This window comes from Homo sapiens, chromosome 17, assembly GCF_000001405.40.
Source record: "Homo sapiens chromosome 17, GRCh38.p14 Primary Assembly".
In the NCBI taxonomy this organism is placed as follows: domain Eukaryota; kingdom Metazoa; phylum Chordata; class Mammalia; order Primates; family Hominidae; genus Homo; species Homo sapiens.
In genome coordinates, this window is record NC_000017.11 from 27,744,920 (window position 1) to 27,758,469 (window position 13,550).

The window sequence follows — 13,550 nt, forward strand, 5'->3', positions numbered from 1 at the left end:
TTGACCTAAAGGAGATATTAGAGAAGACATTAAAAACTTGAAGAATGTGAAAATCAGCCAGGAGATAGAACTGTGCTTTAATGAGGGTTATAGAACCACACTGGATATGAAGCATTTTGGGAATAAACTTTGAAAATTGGAAGTACCAGTTTGTGAATTTTGCTCAGAGAGATGAAGGTGGGGGGTGGGTGACAGTGGTGAAGCATCTCCTATGTGCCAGTCTCTTTTACCACAGGCTGTTTCTCACAAAATCATCAATCATATGCAGTAGGAGAAACACCTTTGTATTTTACGGATGAGAAAACTGAGGCACAGAGAGGTGAAATAGGCTTCCCGAGGTCACTCAGGTCATATGAGCAGCAGAGCTAGGATTCAGACCTGGAGTTGGCCTGACTCTAAAACGATGCATGCCTCACCATGGCGCATTGCTCCTTTAAAGAGCACCAGAAGAGAGAATTTGACAAAGTGGTTGCCCGTGGGGCCTGGGATGGGTGGGGAAACTACGCTAGGGCTCTGGGCTGCTGAGGGCCTGAGGGAAGGAATGGGGAGCCCGGGCGCAGAAGTAGAGGAGGGGGCTGCCCCACGGCTACAGAAGGCATCTGGGAAGACACTTTGCTGAAGGTGGCCAGGAGGGCAAAGGTCACAGTGGCCATTGTTATATGGTGGTGGTGGGGAGAGGGGGATGGCTTCTTCTTAACTTTCTCGGGTGAGTCGAAGGTTTACCCTCCAGACCCTTGATGGGTCCCTTATGTCCCTTGGACATCCTGAGTCCCCAGCCAGGGCCCTGGGCGCTTTGCTGGGAGCTTGACATAAGGTCCAGCAGCCCCCATTGCTACCTAATTCCTTAGCAGCCCAGGGTGTCTGCCTGCTACTTCCCTGCCTGGAAGGAAGGCCTTCTGCCTGGTGCGTTCCTGCTGCAGCCTCCACTGCCTCTTAGACTCTCACACAAGCTCAGCTCCCTGTCGCGTCCTCTCAGGGCCAGGCTTCTCTTTATCACAAGCTTAGACTGTCTGAGTAACTAATTGGATTTGTGTTTGCCTCCACACAGGACCCTAAGACCCGTGGGGCTGCGACTCCCTCTGTACTGGTCACAGCCGCACCCTATCCCCTTGCATGGCGCTGTCAAACCCAGGCTGGCCACTGACTAGCGCTGGAGGGGAGCAAACGGGAGGCCGGCCACCTGACTGATGTTCCCACACCTTCTCCCTGCAGGCTGTCCCCTTTTCTGGGACTATTCAAGGAGGTCTCCAGGACGGACTTCAGATCACTGTCAATGGGACCGTTCTCAGCTCCAGTGGAACCAGGTGTGTGTGTATATGGATGGAAACGTTTCACTCCAGCCTCGTCCCTTAGTAAACCACTGTGCCTGTGAGCCTGGGTTAGTTCAAACAGCAACATCCAAGCTCACGTGCCTGGCTCAGGGGAGGCCCAATGCGTCCCTAACCCATGCCACAGGGCAGCACTCCACAGGCACAACCTGCACCCAGGGGTGCCATTAACCTGGACTCCAGGATGAATGGGGCCCTGGGAGCTGACGGTCTAAGGAGGGCGTGGGATGGTCAGAGTTGGATGATTATGTTCTGGGTTGAACCTTGCACACTGTGACTAAGAGTTGCAAAAATCAAACTTCCTCTATTTCCCGTAACTGCTCTCATCCACTCTGAAGCTCTCCTTCTGCTGATGTGAAAATATTGAAAATTGACATTCAAAGTAATTTGGTCTCTTTCAGTTTCAAGGCCTTTTCTGGAAACTACTAAGTCAATTCAACATACTAACATTGTATCAGGGCTGTTTCCCACCCCCTCCTCCCTCCCAAGGTGGGCTGTCTGGGAACAGAGAAGAGCTCACATGGCTTCTCAGTGGCTGGGAGGGCTCTAGACCCTCACGCAGGCCTGGCTGACCCCTGCCGAGGCACCCTGATTGGGTGACACAGAGGTGTGCAGCTCTCTCCTGGTTGGGTGGGAGACCACAGGGTGGCTTGCTGAAGTCTGCGGGGCCCACAGAAGAGCCTCTGGACTCATGGTTCTCCCACAGAAGCCTCTCTGCCTCAGTCCCAGGGGTCCTCTCCTTAAGACCTTCTGGGCCTTGCAGATCCCAACTCAACATCAGTTCGGCCACTAGATTCTTGCTGACCTCCCCCAGGAGATGCCAAGGGCAGGGAGGCCCTGATCCCCCTGAACCCTCCAACCAGGGGAATCAGGACCACACCCCTGATCTTCCTCCCCTTCCTCTCTTCCTCTCCCTTGGCCTCCCCTACCTCCCAGCACCAGGAAGGCTTCCGACTCCCATCCTGTCGAATAGAGACAGATCCTACCTCAGAGGGCCCTCTCCTCTCGGGAGCTTTCTGTCTCTCCCTTCCTTGGGGCAGGAATTTCCAAAGGACTACAGGGATGAAGCTGAAGGGCTCCAAAAGAAAAAAATACATTCAGAGGTATTTCAAATGTACTCATCTCCATTTATTCATTTATTCATTTAATTAATTATTTTTTTTCTTTTGAGACAGGGACTTTTTTCTTTGACCCAGGCTGGAGTGCAGTGGTACGATCATAGCTCACTGCAGCCTCCAATTCCTGGGCTCGAGCAATCCTCCCATCTCAGCCTCTGGAGCAGTTGGGACTACAGGAGTGCACTGTGATGCCAAGCTAATTAATTTTTTTTAAAGTAGAGATGAGATCTCGCTGTTGCTCAGGCTGGTCTTCAACTCCTGGGCTCAAGTGACCCACCTGCCTTGGCGTCCCAAGGTGCTGTGATTACAGGCGTGAGCCACTGCGCCCGGCCCCAATTTCACATGCTCTTTACATTTGTTCTCTTCTTTCCCACTTAATCAGGCTTGTGCTAGCCTCCAACAAGTGTCCACTGGCATGGAAGGCTCTCTCTTCTAGGTGTGCTTAACAACTTCCATCTTTGGTAACAATTGGTAATCACTTTCCAAGACCTATGCTTCTTGTTTGCTAATATCAGCACTTTTCCTTAAGCATTTTCTACTTATTTTTAGAAAATCATACTGTAAAGGCAAAATCCAATAATTGCACAAAAACACATTAGATCCAAATTAGAGAAACAAAAAGATGCCAACCAAGCAGTCTCTGCGACGCAAGTTGTATGCAAGATCCCAGACAAATGCGAGGCAGAGGCACCGAAGCCCTCCTGTGCCTGTCACTGGCAATAACCCATGCCACAGAAGACTATTTGCTTTCCCTGGGCCTAGGTTTGCTGTGCGCTTTCAGACCGGCTTCAGTGGAAATGGCATTGCCTTCCACTTCAACCTTCTGTTTGAAGAGGGAGGGTACATGGTGTACAACACGAGGCAGAAAGGAAGATGGGGGCCTGAGGAAAGGAAGATGCACATTCCCTCCAGCAGGGGATGCCCTTTGACCTCTGCTTCCTGCTACAGAGCTCAGATTTCAAGGTGAGCAGGAAACCCCTCCCCACCTCTCACCCCCGGGTCCCCCAGCTCTATCAGGCGAATGGGCTTTAAGTAATCACCTTGATTGACATTCAGCCAGAGTGATGCTACTATACAGATAACACAATCATTTCCTTGTAAGGTGTTATTCATGGCTGCCTAGTCATCTTATGCACCTTTATCTGAATCTACAGGTGCACCTGCTGCTTCTTTTACTCTGAAAATAAGAACTAGAGGAGTCATCACGTTGCTGTTTGGTGGTGTGTGTCTTTGAATTCCAAGCTCATGCCATTCCTCTGCTATCACCACACCTCCTCTCCAGGTGTCTGGTAACATTTATTATTCAGCGACATTGTTCCAGCCTTCATCCAGGGTCTATTAAGGGTATAGTTTTGTAAGCAAATTGCAAATTACCTTTGCAAGCAGAGTAGGTCTCTGGGCTTCAGAAGCCTGTGGGTAAGTCAGTCCGAGTATGCTTATCTGAGATAAGGATGTCCCCATCCACTCAGTATGCAACCTGAGGTCACCTCTCCTCTGCTCCCCATGAGCATTTTATGCATATATAAATAATACCCCTGCAGCCATAAAAAGGAACGAGATCATGTCCTTTGCAGGAACATGGATGGAGCTGGAAGCCTTTATCCTCAACAAACACAGGAGCAGAAAACCAAACACCACATGTTCTCACTTATAAGTAGGAGCTGAACGATGAGAACACATGGACACAAGGGGGGAAACAACACACCCTTGGGCCTGGTGGGGGAGGGAGAGCATCACGAAGATTAGCTAACAGATGCTGGGCTTGATACCAAGGTGATGGGTTGATCTCTGCAGCAAACCACCATGGCACCCGTTTACCTCGTTAACAAACCTGCACATCCTGTACTCATACCCTGGAACTTAAAATCAAAGTTGAAGGGGATGGGCACAGTGGGTCATGCCTATAATCCCAGCACTTTGGGAGGCTGAGGAGGGCAGATGACTTCAGGTCAGGAGTTCAAGACCAGCCTGGCCAACATGGTGAAACCCCATCTCTACTAAAAATACAAAAATTAGCTGAGTGTGGTGGTGGGCACCTGTAATCCCAGCTACTCAGGAGGCTGAGGCATAAGAATCACTTGAACCACTGCACTCCAGCCTGGGCGACAGACTGACATTCCATCTCAAAAAAAAATTGTTCAAGGAAAAATAAATAATAAATAAATGAAACCCCAGGTGAGCTAAGACTAGAAAGACAAACCTACTGCAGGAAACAACCAGAAGAATGAAAAGTCCAACTGGAGCCCCGTAGAGACTCGGGTTGATGCACTTCGGGTCACACACACGTTCCTGTAACTGGCCCCACACTGAAGACCAGACTCAGGTCTTCATTTTCTAGAAAGAGGGTCCAGGAGCTCAGGGGTGGTCCCCATCCCAGCCTGGGATGCCTCCCCCGGAACACGTGCTCTCCTCTGGCAGGTGATGGTGAACGGGATCCTCTTCGTGCAGTACTTCCACCGCGTGCCCTTCCACCGTGTGGACACCATCTCCGTCAATGGCTCTGTGCAGCTGTCCTACATCAGCTTCCAGGTCAGACTGTGCACCTGGCACCGGTCCCAGGGGCTGGGATGCAGGGCCCAGCATAGCTGTGTCTAGGCCCAGCTGGGTGGGCCCAAGCCAATCTCCTACCCAGGTCACTCTGGGGACAACCTCTGCTTCCCTGTCCCAGTACCTGCCCGCCCCTTCTCCTCTGTCACTCTGCCCCTCCTTCTGTGTTACTGTCCCTGTCCGGAACACCTGCCTTGGTCTCCCAGACTCCTCAGCTGCCCCTTTCTCCTCACCCCTTGATTTCCACCCTGGTTAGGAGGCCATATTGTTCTAGAAAGAACACAGGCTAAGGAACCAAACTGAATCCAGTTCAAATTCCAAGCTCTGCCATTCATCCTCTGTGGGATCTTAGACAAGCAACTTCACCTCTCTCAGCCTAGGTTTCTTCATCTGTAGAATGGTCATTGCCTGCCCCCCATGGGTGGTTGTGTGGTTCAGTGAGGAGACAGATATCAGAGGTCACACAGTGGCCCCCCTGGGCCCACACCAGGGTCTGTTTGACCTCTGTGTTTTAACAACTTTGAATGTGTTGCCAACATCTAAAAGGTCAGGAGAGTCAGGTATGGTGGTGGAGGTCTGCAGTCCTGGCTACTCAAGAGGCTGAGGCGGGAGAATTGCTTGAGCCCAGGAATTAGAGTTCTGCCTGGGCAACATAGCAAGACCCTGTCTCCAAAAAACTTTGTTTAAATAATAAAATAAAATAAAACAAATAAAACTAAAGAAGGTCAGGAGATACCAATACCACGTGAAAAATGGGAAGATTAGGGTATGCTGGGCCCACATTCCCACAGGGCACCAGCAGCTGGGTGGGAGCTACTATTACCCTTTTGGCATTCGAGGCTGCTCCCTGAGATCAGCGAAGCACACAGTAGGCCCTCAGCAAATCTGGGCTTCTCGCCCTTTGGTCCTCATCTCTGACTTTGGTCCCTCTTTCCCTGACTCCCTCCCCTGTGGGTGAATGGGGAGGGAAGAGCTGGAGGGAGACCGCACCCCTGCACTGCTCACCAGAGCCTGGCTCTTTCCCATCCCATCTTGGCAGGGCCCTAACCCCCTTGCCTCATCCCCCTGCCTGCCTGGTCTCTCCCTCTTGCCCTTGCCTCTGCCTTTCGGCTTCTCCTTGGCTCTATTAATGCTTCTCCTCACTGCCCGGTGCCTTTTGTTTTAACAGAACCCCCGCACAGTCCCTGTTCAGCCTGCCTTCTCCACGGTGCCATTCTCCCAGTCTGTCTGTTTCCCACCCAGGCCCAGGGGGCGCAGACAAAAAGTGAGTTCAACACAGAGGCCCTGGGTGGCCGAGCAGACAGTAGGAAGGACCGAGGGTCTGAGAGGCTGGCCCCAGCCAGCAGGCCACTCAGGGCCTACAGGCCCCATCTTGCCCACTCAAGAGTTCCCTGTCTGTCTGCCGGGCACCCAGAGCTGGGGACCTGGGGGTCTCCCTGAATTCTTCATTCCCCCTTCTTTACGTCTCTCCAAGGCACCAAGAGGCCCGAAGCCACCGACATGGCCCAGGCCTCCGGGATTCCTCACCATGACGACAGGGGTCCAGTTCCCCACCCCCCACACCCAACCACTGTCACAGTGGTTCTTATAAGCACTTAAGTTCTTATAAGTGCTTCTTATAAGCAAATCTGATCACACCCTCTCCCTGCTTAAAAATCTTCACAGCCCCCAGCCCTTCAAATAAAGCCCAAATTCCCCAGCAGGGCATACAAATTCCTCCCAGTCTGACCCCAATCAACCTCGCTGCCTCACCCCTAAACCACAAAGCTCACGCAGCCTCTGCAGCTCACTCAAGGCCCTCTCGGGCCACCATGTTTTTGCATATGCTGTCCCTGGTCCCGGAAGCATCCTCTGCCAGCCTGCCCCCAGCACACGCCTAATTGCCCTTCCATGCTCTGCCTAAATGTCGCTCCTCTGGGAGTCCTCCCCGCCTGGAATATTGTTGGACGCTCCCCCATGACCCCACAGAGTCTGTACGTATCTGTGCCATGCCAGTTCAAAGCACCCCATTGTAACTGTGTTTGCGTTGTCTGTCCCCGTCACTCCACCCCCATCTCCCTATGCCCATGAGGCTTCAGAGGGCCGGGACTGTGCCTTGTTCATTTGCACTCAGTGAATGAATGTGGAATGTGGTTCACACAGCCAGGGAGAATGGGATACCAGCCAGGGCAAGAACAGTCTACTGGGTGGGGCAGGATCCAGGACAAGGAGGTGAGCAGCCCTTCCTCTGGCCACTCCAGTAGTGGGGACTGGGAGGAGGGGCGCTTTGTCTATGCAGTCTTCTTACGGCTCATCACGGTACAGACAGGGCACCTGCCTCCTGCCACGCTGACTTCAGGACTGGTCGAGCCCCAGGGAACATTTGCAGCGCAGCCCAAATTTGGCCCTGGCCCTGGGGAGGATAGAAAGTGTGCTGGATACAGTCAGACAGAACTGGCTGCCACTTTGGATTTGATGCCTTCCACCTGGGCGAGCTTGGGCAAGTTGCTTAATCTTTCTAAGCCTCATTACCTCACCAGGGACACAGGAGCTGAGGCTGCTTCCCTCATTGGAAAGCAGTGAAACCCAGGAATCAGCCCACAGTAGGCCTTCAACAAATACCACTTCTCACCTTAGTGGTAAAATATGGCACTGGAAGTAATGCTCTTGGCTGTGGGAGCTACAGAGAGCAATGAGGTCTCTATCAAACCCAGCCTCCTCTCTCTCAAGAGGAACCAATGGGGATACCCTACCCCCCAACCCCAAAGCCCTGTGCACCTGGGGGTAAAAATCTGGGTGCCACGGGCTCAGGAAGGCTTTCTTGGGAGCAAGAGGGAGGTGGGTGTGTCCGGGGAGGCATTTCTGAGCACAAGAGCCTCCCTGGAGTTTTGCCACCATCTCCTCCCATTCTGTGGTGCCCGCGATAACCACTATTCTGACTCTCCTCACCCCTCCAGCCTCCCGGCGTGTGGCCTGCCAACCCGGCTCCCATTGTAAGTCTCTTGCTTTCTTTTTGGATCGTCCTCATTTTGGCTTTTCTGGGCTCATGGAGGAGGCAGGGCCAGGCATTGGGCCTCTCCCATTGGGAGTGGGGAGGGCACAGGCCAGGCCCTTGACCATCTGCCCGGCCTGGTGAGGTTGGGGGTTGGATGTGGTTGGCTGGCCGTGATGAAACAACCTGAGTTGCCACCCCGTGGGCAGCCACGGAAGACCATGCCCCACATTCACTTCTGTCACCTGCAAAGGGAGGCTAGGCTGAGAGACGTTTCCCCGAGAGGAAAGATGGGCCAGAGCCACCAGCGTCCCCATCTGTCTTCTCCAGGGTTCTAACCTTTGCCCCTCGCTCATCCCCTTGAGAGAAGAGACACCTGGGCCCACCCTCTGTGGGGTCTGTGGGGCCATTGGGCTTGTTACGCCCCCTGGAGGGTGCCTGCCGTGTGGCGCCCTCTGGTGGGAGCTGGTGGTTTTCACACGTGAGAGCCTGGGTGAGACCTGGTTTCTTTCTTCCAGACCCAGACAGTCATCCACACAGTGCAGAGCGCCCCTGGACAGATGTTCTCTGTAAGTCTACAAGTTCTGGTCAGTTCACAGCTGCACAGTGTCCTCCTTCACCAAGAACTAAATTCCCTAGAGCGCTAGAGTTGGGAAGAAAGCGGTTTAGCAAGGAGGATGGGGACACTAGGGGCTGAGTGCTTGGCTCAGGTGACATGTGGCTAAAGCTGTCCTTGGGACAGCAGAGATTCTGGAAGAAGCAGGATTTATCCAGTGGTGGAAGAGGCAAGCCCCCTAGAGACCGGGAGGGAAACTGGTCTGTCTGTCACCAAGTGGGGAGTGCAGTGGCCCCAGCACCCGGATGTGAGGTTCCTGGCCCTGCATCCTGGGTCCCCAGGATGTCACTACCGATCATAGGCTTAAGCTCTTCTCCTGCTGGTGCAAATCAGGCCGGAAGTTTAGCGTTAGTGGGGCTGCCTGCAGAGGGGTTGAGGGACAGGTGACCGTGGTGGAGTCCGGGAACACGGCAGGAAGTTCCAGGAAGGCTAACATGAAAAGGGAGGTGGATGGGGGAGTCCAAGGGCCAAAGGCTCATGAGGTCAGCCTCACAGTGGAGCCCCTCTAGAATGCATGGGTGCGCGTGGGTGAGTGCTCGCGCACACATGCGCTCTCCCATTGAATTTCCTGGTTTCTTTTCAGCAGACTCCCGCCAACCCACCTATGATGTACCCCCACCCCACCTATGTAAGTGATTTCTCAGGGAGGGCGGAGGTTCTGTTTGTGGTGGGCAGGCTGGGGGTGAAGGGCCACTTCGGGGGTATCCACTAGCCTTGCAAAATGAAAAGCGAAGGGCTTTCAAAATGGTAAGCTGAAGGGCTTCAAAGCTTCCCAGCGAATTAGAAGACTGTGGAGAGGAGCTTTCAACCTTAAAACTGTCGTGTCAATACGAGCGCATTGCATGGCTCTCCCTTTTCACCCCACGAGATGAGTCTTTTTGTGTTTGGCCAAAGTTCCTTTCATGACACTAATCTAAGCCCATTAATATGAGGAGCACTGGAAAGTTTTCCTTTGGCTTTTATGGAACCAAGTACAGATATCGTTGGTTTCTTCTTAGCTGACAGCCCAAATTCATGGGACCTGGTACAATCTTCCCTTTTGTGTGGTGGGCTGCCCTGGCTGCCACTGGCTGACCCATGCCTCTCCTTCTGAAAGCCGACGCCTTTTGTCACCATCATTCCGGGAGGGCTGTACCCATCCAAGTCCATCATCCTGTTGGGCACTGTCCTGCCCAGTGCTCAGAGGTAAGCTAAGGGCTCCAGTTGACCTCTGGGAAGAGAGAGCCCTTCAAGGTGATTCCAGCCATTCCCCTGGCTTTGGGCAGGCTGTGGATGACGGGGAGGAAATAAGGCCCAGAACTCAGTGGACAAAGGTCCAGGTGGGCTGCCCACCCCAGGTTCCACATCAACCCGCACTCTGGGAACCACATCGCCTTCCACCTCAATCCCCGTTTTGATGAGAACGCTGTGGTCCACAACACCCAGATCAACAACTCTTAGGGGTCTGATGAGAGGGGCACAGCTGGGGAGAGGTGGGGAGTGGGCAGTGAAGATGAAGCCCCATGCTCAGTCCCCTCCCATCCCCCACGCAGCTCCACCCCAGTCTCAAGCCACCAGCTGTCCACTCCTGGTGGGAGGTGACGTCCTCAGTCCCTCCCCTCTGACCTTTAACCTAACTCTCACCTTGCACCCTGCATCAACCCTTCACCCCCTCCTGGAAAGCCAGCCTGATGGCATCCCACTGGCCTCCACCAACTGACCAGAGTGTTCTCTTCAGGGGACTGGCTCCTTTCCCAGTGTCCTTAAAATAAAGAAATGAAAATGCTTGTTGGCACATTCATGTGGGTTGACCGTGGCTTCTTTAATTCATTTGGAGACATTTTGGAGTCTGTGGAATCGGGCGGCGGTGCTGCTGAGAGGAGTGGGATGGGAAAGCATGGACTCCCTTTGGGCAGGGGGTCCTGACCTCACACCTCCTCCCAGAGGGTCCCTCACAAATCCCACGAGGGTGTTGGAGAAAGCAGGCTGGGGCTCTAGCCTTTTGGGCAGGAGTCTCGGACACAGGAAGGTGGTAATGGGGGACACCAGGAAACAGCCCCATGCCTCCGAGATGGGAGAGGGGCTGGGGCAGAGCCTGTGAGGGCCACAGCAGGGTCAGAGCTGCCTCCTCAGACCTGGCGTCCCAGTGGGAGGAGGTGGCTTGGGGAGGGGGGTCAGGAGAAGCCAACCCGAAGCACCGTCTGGGTGTGTGTTCCATTGTGGGTCTCTCCGGCATTAGGGGTTAGGGCTTGCATAGGAAAAGTGGCTCAGTGTTCATGTGTGGGGTTCTGCCAGCCACTGGGCCACTGCCAGGAAGCCCGACTCTGCATCCAGGTGATGCCAACACATCCTGCTCAGCCCAGTAAGAATCCAGTTCCTCAGGCCCCATAGTAGTCCTCAGAGCAGTGGCACCAGCTGCATCCGGGAGTTTGTTGGAAACGCAGCATCCCGCGCCCCACCCGACCTGCGAGGTCAGAGTCTCTGTTTTCACAGGACCCCAGACGAGGTGCGCACATTAAAGCTGGAAAGCCCTGGTCCGGGAGCGGACTCCTGGCCTTGTTGCTGAGATGCACGGCTGTCGCGCAGGGCATGGAGCTTTCCTGGAGCCTGAGGTTGGCACTGCCCCTTCTCCTGCCCCTGAGATGCTACTGCTAGAAGGGGAAGGTGGCGGGCAAGGGGGTGAAGTCGGCCAGGGCACCCAGGAGGCAGAGGCCAAACCTAAGCTGGGAGCCGTGTGTTGCCAGGACCCCAGTGGCCGCCGCTGAGCTCCTTTTTTGGTTCTGACCAGGAGAAGGAAACGGGGCCCACTCTCCTAAGAAGGCTTCCTTGGCCTGCTCCAAACCCAAGAGGGTCCCCAGTCCCTCAGGCGAGGATGCTGTGGCCCACACTCGCCTCGACACGCTGCCTTCCCAGGGACCACATCCGTACTGGCCAAGGCACAGTCTCGCATGAGACTGGTGGCCCCAGAGCAAAACGCTTTCTAAGACAGTGTCCAAGAAGAAGCTCAAGGCCTTCCTCGAAACACTGGCCTTATGCGACAATCCCACCCTCACCAGACCCCGTTTCAGATACTTTGTGTGGGAGGCAGGCCTGCGCCCCCTGCCCTACCACAGGTCTTTGGACCAGCACGAAGCTCCATCTGCTGCTGGCACACCTGGCAGCCATTTCAGAGGAGCCATGGACTGGCTGGGGTGTCCCTCTGTCGGGGATCTGTCCAGGCTGTGACACCCACCAGCTCCCCACTCTGAGAAGAGCTTTCCCTACAAAACACCCACACACGCATACAGTGTGATTAAAGTAAAATGCAATTCATGTAAATATCTCCATCAAGGAATCATACAGGGAAGACCCAAGTGGCCATGGGGAACAGACTGGGTGTTAGTTTTTTAAATACAGAGGCATAAATAACTGTACACAAGGCAGTTAAATACACAGTGGTGCGATAGCACCTCCTGGTGGTCACTTGAAGTGGTGCACTCAGCAGCAAGTTCCATCTTTCACCCACTTGCCAGGCCTGGCATTTAAGATTTTGTCTCCAAGGGACCAGGGAGGCCCCAGTTTGAGAGAGGAGGCTCCGATCAATCCAGGGTGCTACTTGTTAGGAGGTCAAGTAAAGGGCTTGATGGGGAGCAACGTTGAGGAAATAAGACTTGAGGCTGGGGGATATCACTTTCCTCCATCTCCCCAGGCCCTGTGACCTCAGATAATGCAGAGCTGGCTCCATCCTTAAGTTCTGTGCCGGCAGCTTTAACCCCTCCTGTAGGCCCTCAGAGCGCTGACATCTCCAGGCTGCTGGGCTGCACCGCCACCCTGTCCTTCTTCGCCTCGTAAGGAAATACAGCACCAAAGATATCTTCGTGATAGCGCTTCTGGCTCTTTTAGGTAAAAACAGAGAGCAACGTGTCAAGTCCAGGCTGGGATGAGCCCCTGGGGTTGCCCAGCTTCCCTATCACATGGACCTTCATGAGCCATCTGTCTTCCCAACTGTTATACTTAGATTGTGCTTGAATCTGGTTTAGACCCTAACCCTGCTCAGCACCTGCTCTGGTGCGGGCCCTCTAACCATCTCCAAAGCTTTACTTAGCATACCCATTTCCTGCCCAGCGTTCATCCCCCACCCAAGATACTCCAGGAAGTGTGAGCTCTGAGATAAATATGTTTGGGAAATGCTACGTCCTTTCTTTCCTTCCAGCCTTGAAGGGTCCTGATGAACAGCAGCATACTGAAGGCTCCCAGAAGTCTTGTAGTAAAGCAACGTGTTTGCCTTGCCTTAACTAAGCATGTCCCAGGCTATTCGACCTTGGAATCTTTTTGATGCCAACTGTCTACCGACCCACTGAACACATTTGGGGAAATGCCTGTTATCTCCTCACTGTTCTTCAAACACGCCAGCTTAACTCCCACCCCCGGGGCCTTTGTACCTGCTGCCCCTCCAGAACAGCCCAGAGTGTTTCCTTCAGTATCCACAGGGCTCCTCCTCACCATCTCAGGTTTATTCTCAGATGCCACCTTCCAGCTCTGCCTTCCCTGGCCACCCTATTTAAAATTACACTCCCCAGCGTTCCCTGGGCTGTTTCCTGCTGTTTTTCTCTGAAGCACTACACCTCTTTCTTGTCTGGGTTTGTCAGCCCCAGTAGAATGTAAAGAATTTTTGCCTGATTCATTTACTGCTCTATCCCTAGCACATAGTAGGTGCTCAATAAATGTTCAGTTGAACGTATGAATGTGTCTTAGGGAGAGTATGGAAGTGACAATCACAGGCTTTGGAACCAGAGAGAGGCAGACTGAACTCTAGGCTCTCACATTTACTGCTGTGGTCCCCGTAGGCCCCCTTCCCTCTGTAAAAGGGGGTGCCTCCCTCATAAAGTCCTCGGCAGGACTGAATGAAATGTCACATGAGAATCCTTGGCAAGCAGTATGCCCAGTGTAAGCCCTTGATAAATATCACTATTATCTTCATCAATAAAATGCAAGCCCTTCCTGCTGGGGGG

General features: G+C 53.5%; 1 protein-coding gene and 1 pseudogene across 1 annotated transcript in view, besides 3 other annotated features; one reads left to right on the forward strand and one right to left on the reverse strand.

Annotated features, from left to right (window-relative positions):
- Nucleotides 520-1,063: an enhancer, noted in NCBI's record as "H3K27ac-H3K4me1 hESC enhancer chr17:26072465-26073008 (GRCh37/hg19 assembly coordinates)". NCBI's record gives its function as "activates a minimal SCP1, AML or CMV promoter by ChIP-STARR-seq in primed H9 embryonic stem cells {active_cell/tissue: H9 hESC(primed)}" and the evidence as "EXISTENCE:reporter gene assay evidence [ECO:0000049][PMID:30033119]".
- Nucleotides 1,064-1,607: an enhancer, noted in NCBI's record as "H3K27ac-H3K4me1 hESC enhancer chr17:26073009-26073552 (GRCh37/hg19 assembly coordinates)". NCBI's record gives its function as "activates a minimal SCP1, AML or CMV promoter by ChIP-STARR-seq in primed H9 embryonic stem cells {active_cell/tissue: H9 hESC(primed)}" and the evidence as "EXISTENCE:reporter gene assay evidence [ECO:0000049][PMID:30033119]".
- LGALS9DP (galectin 9D, pseudogene) lies at nucleotides 1,121-10,360 on the forward strand (annotated as a pseudogene).
- Nucleotides 10,997-11,497: an enhancer, noted in NCBI's record as "H3K4me1 hESC enhancer chr17:26082942-26083442 (GRCh37/hg19 assembly coordinates)". NCBI's record gives its function as "activates a minimal SCP1, AML or CMV promoter by ChIP-STARR-seq in primed H9 embryonic stem cells {active_cell/tissue: H9 hESC(primed)}" and the evidence as "EXISTENCE:reporter gene assay evidence [ECO:0000049][PMID:30033119]".
- The window catches only part of NOS2 (nitric oxide synthase 2), a 43,764-nt gene continuing 42,060 nt past the window's right edge, over nucleotides 11,847-13,550 (reverse strand). Inside the window, exon 27 of the mRNA NM_000625.4 lies at nucleotides 11,847-12,434. Within this exon, the coding sequence (NP_000616.3) occupies nucleotides 12,327-12,434 (108 nt within the window). The 3' untranslated portion in view covers nucleotides 11,847-12,326. The remainder of the gene's footprint in view (nucleotides 12,435-13,550) is intronic.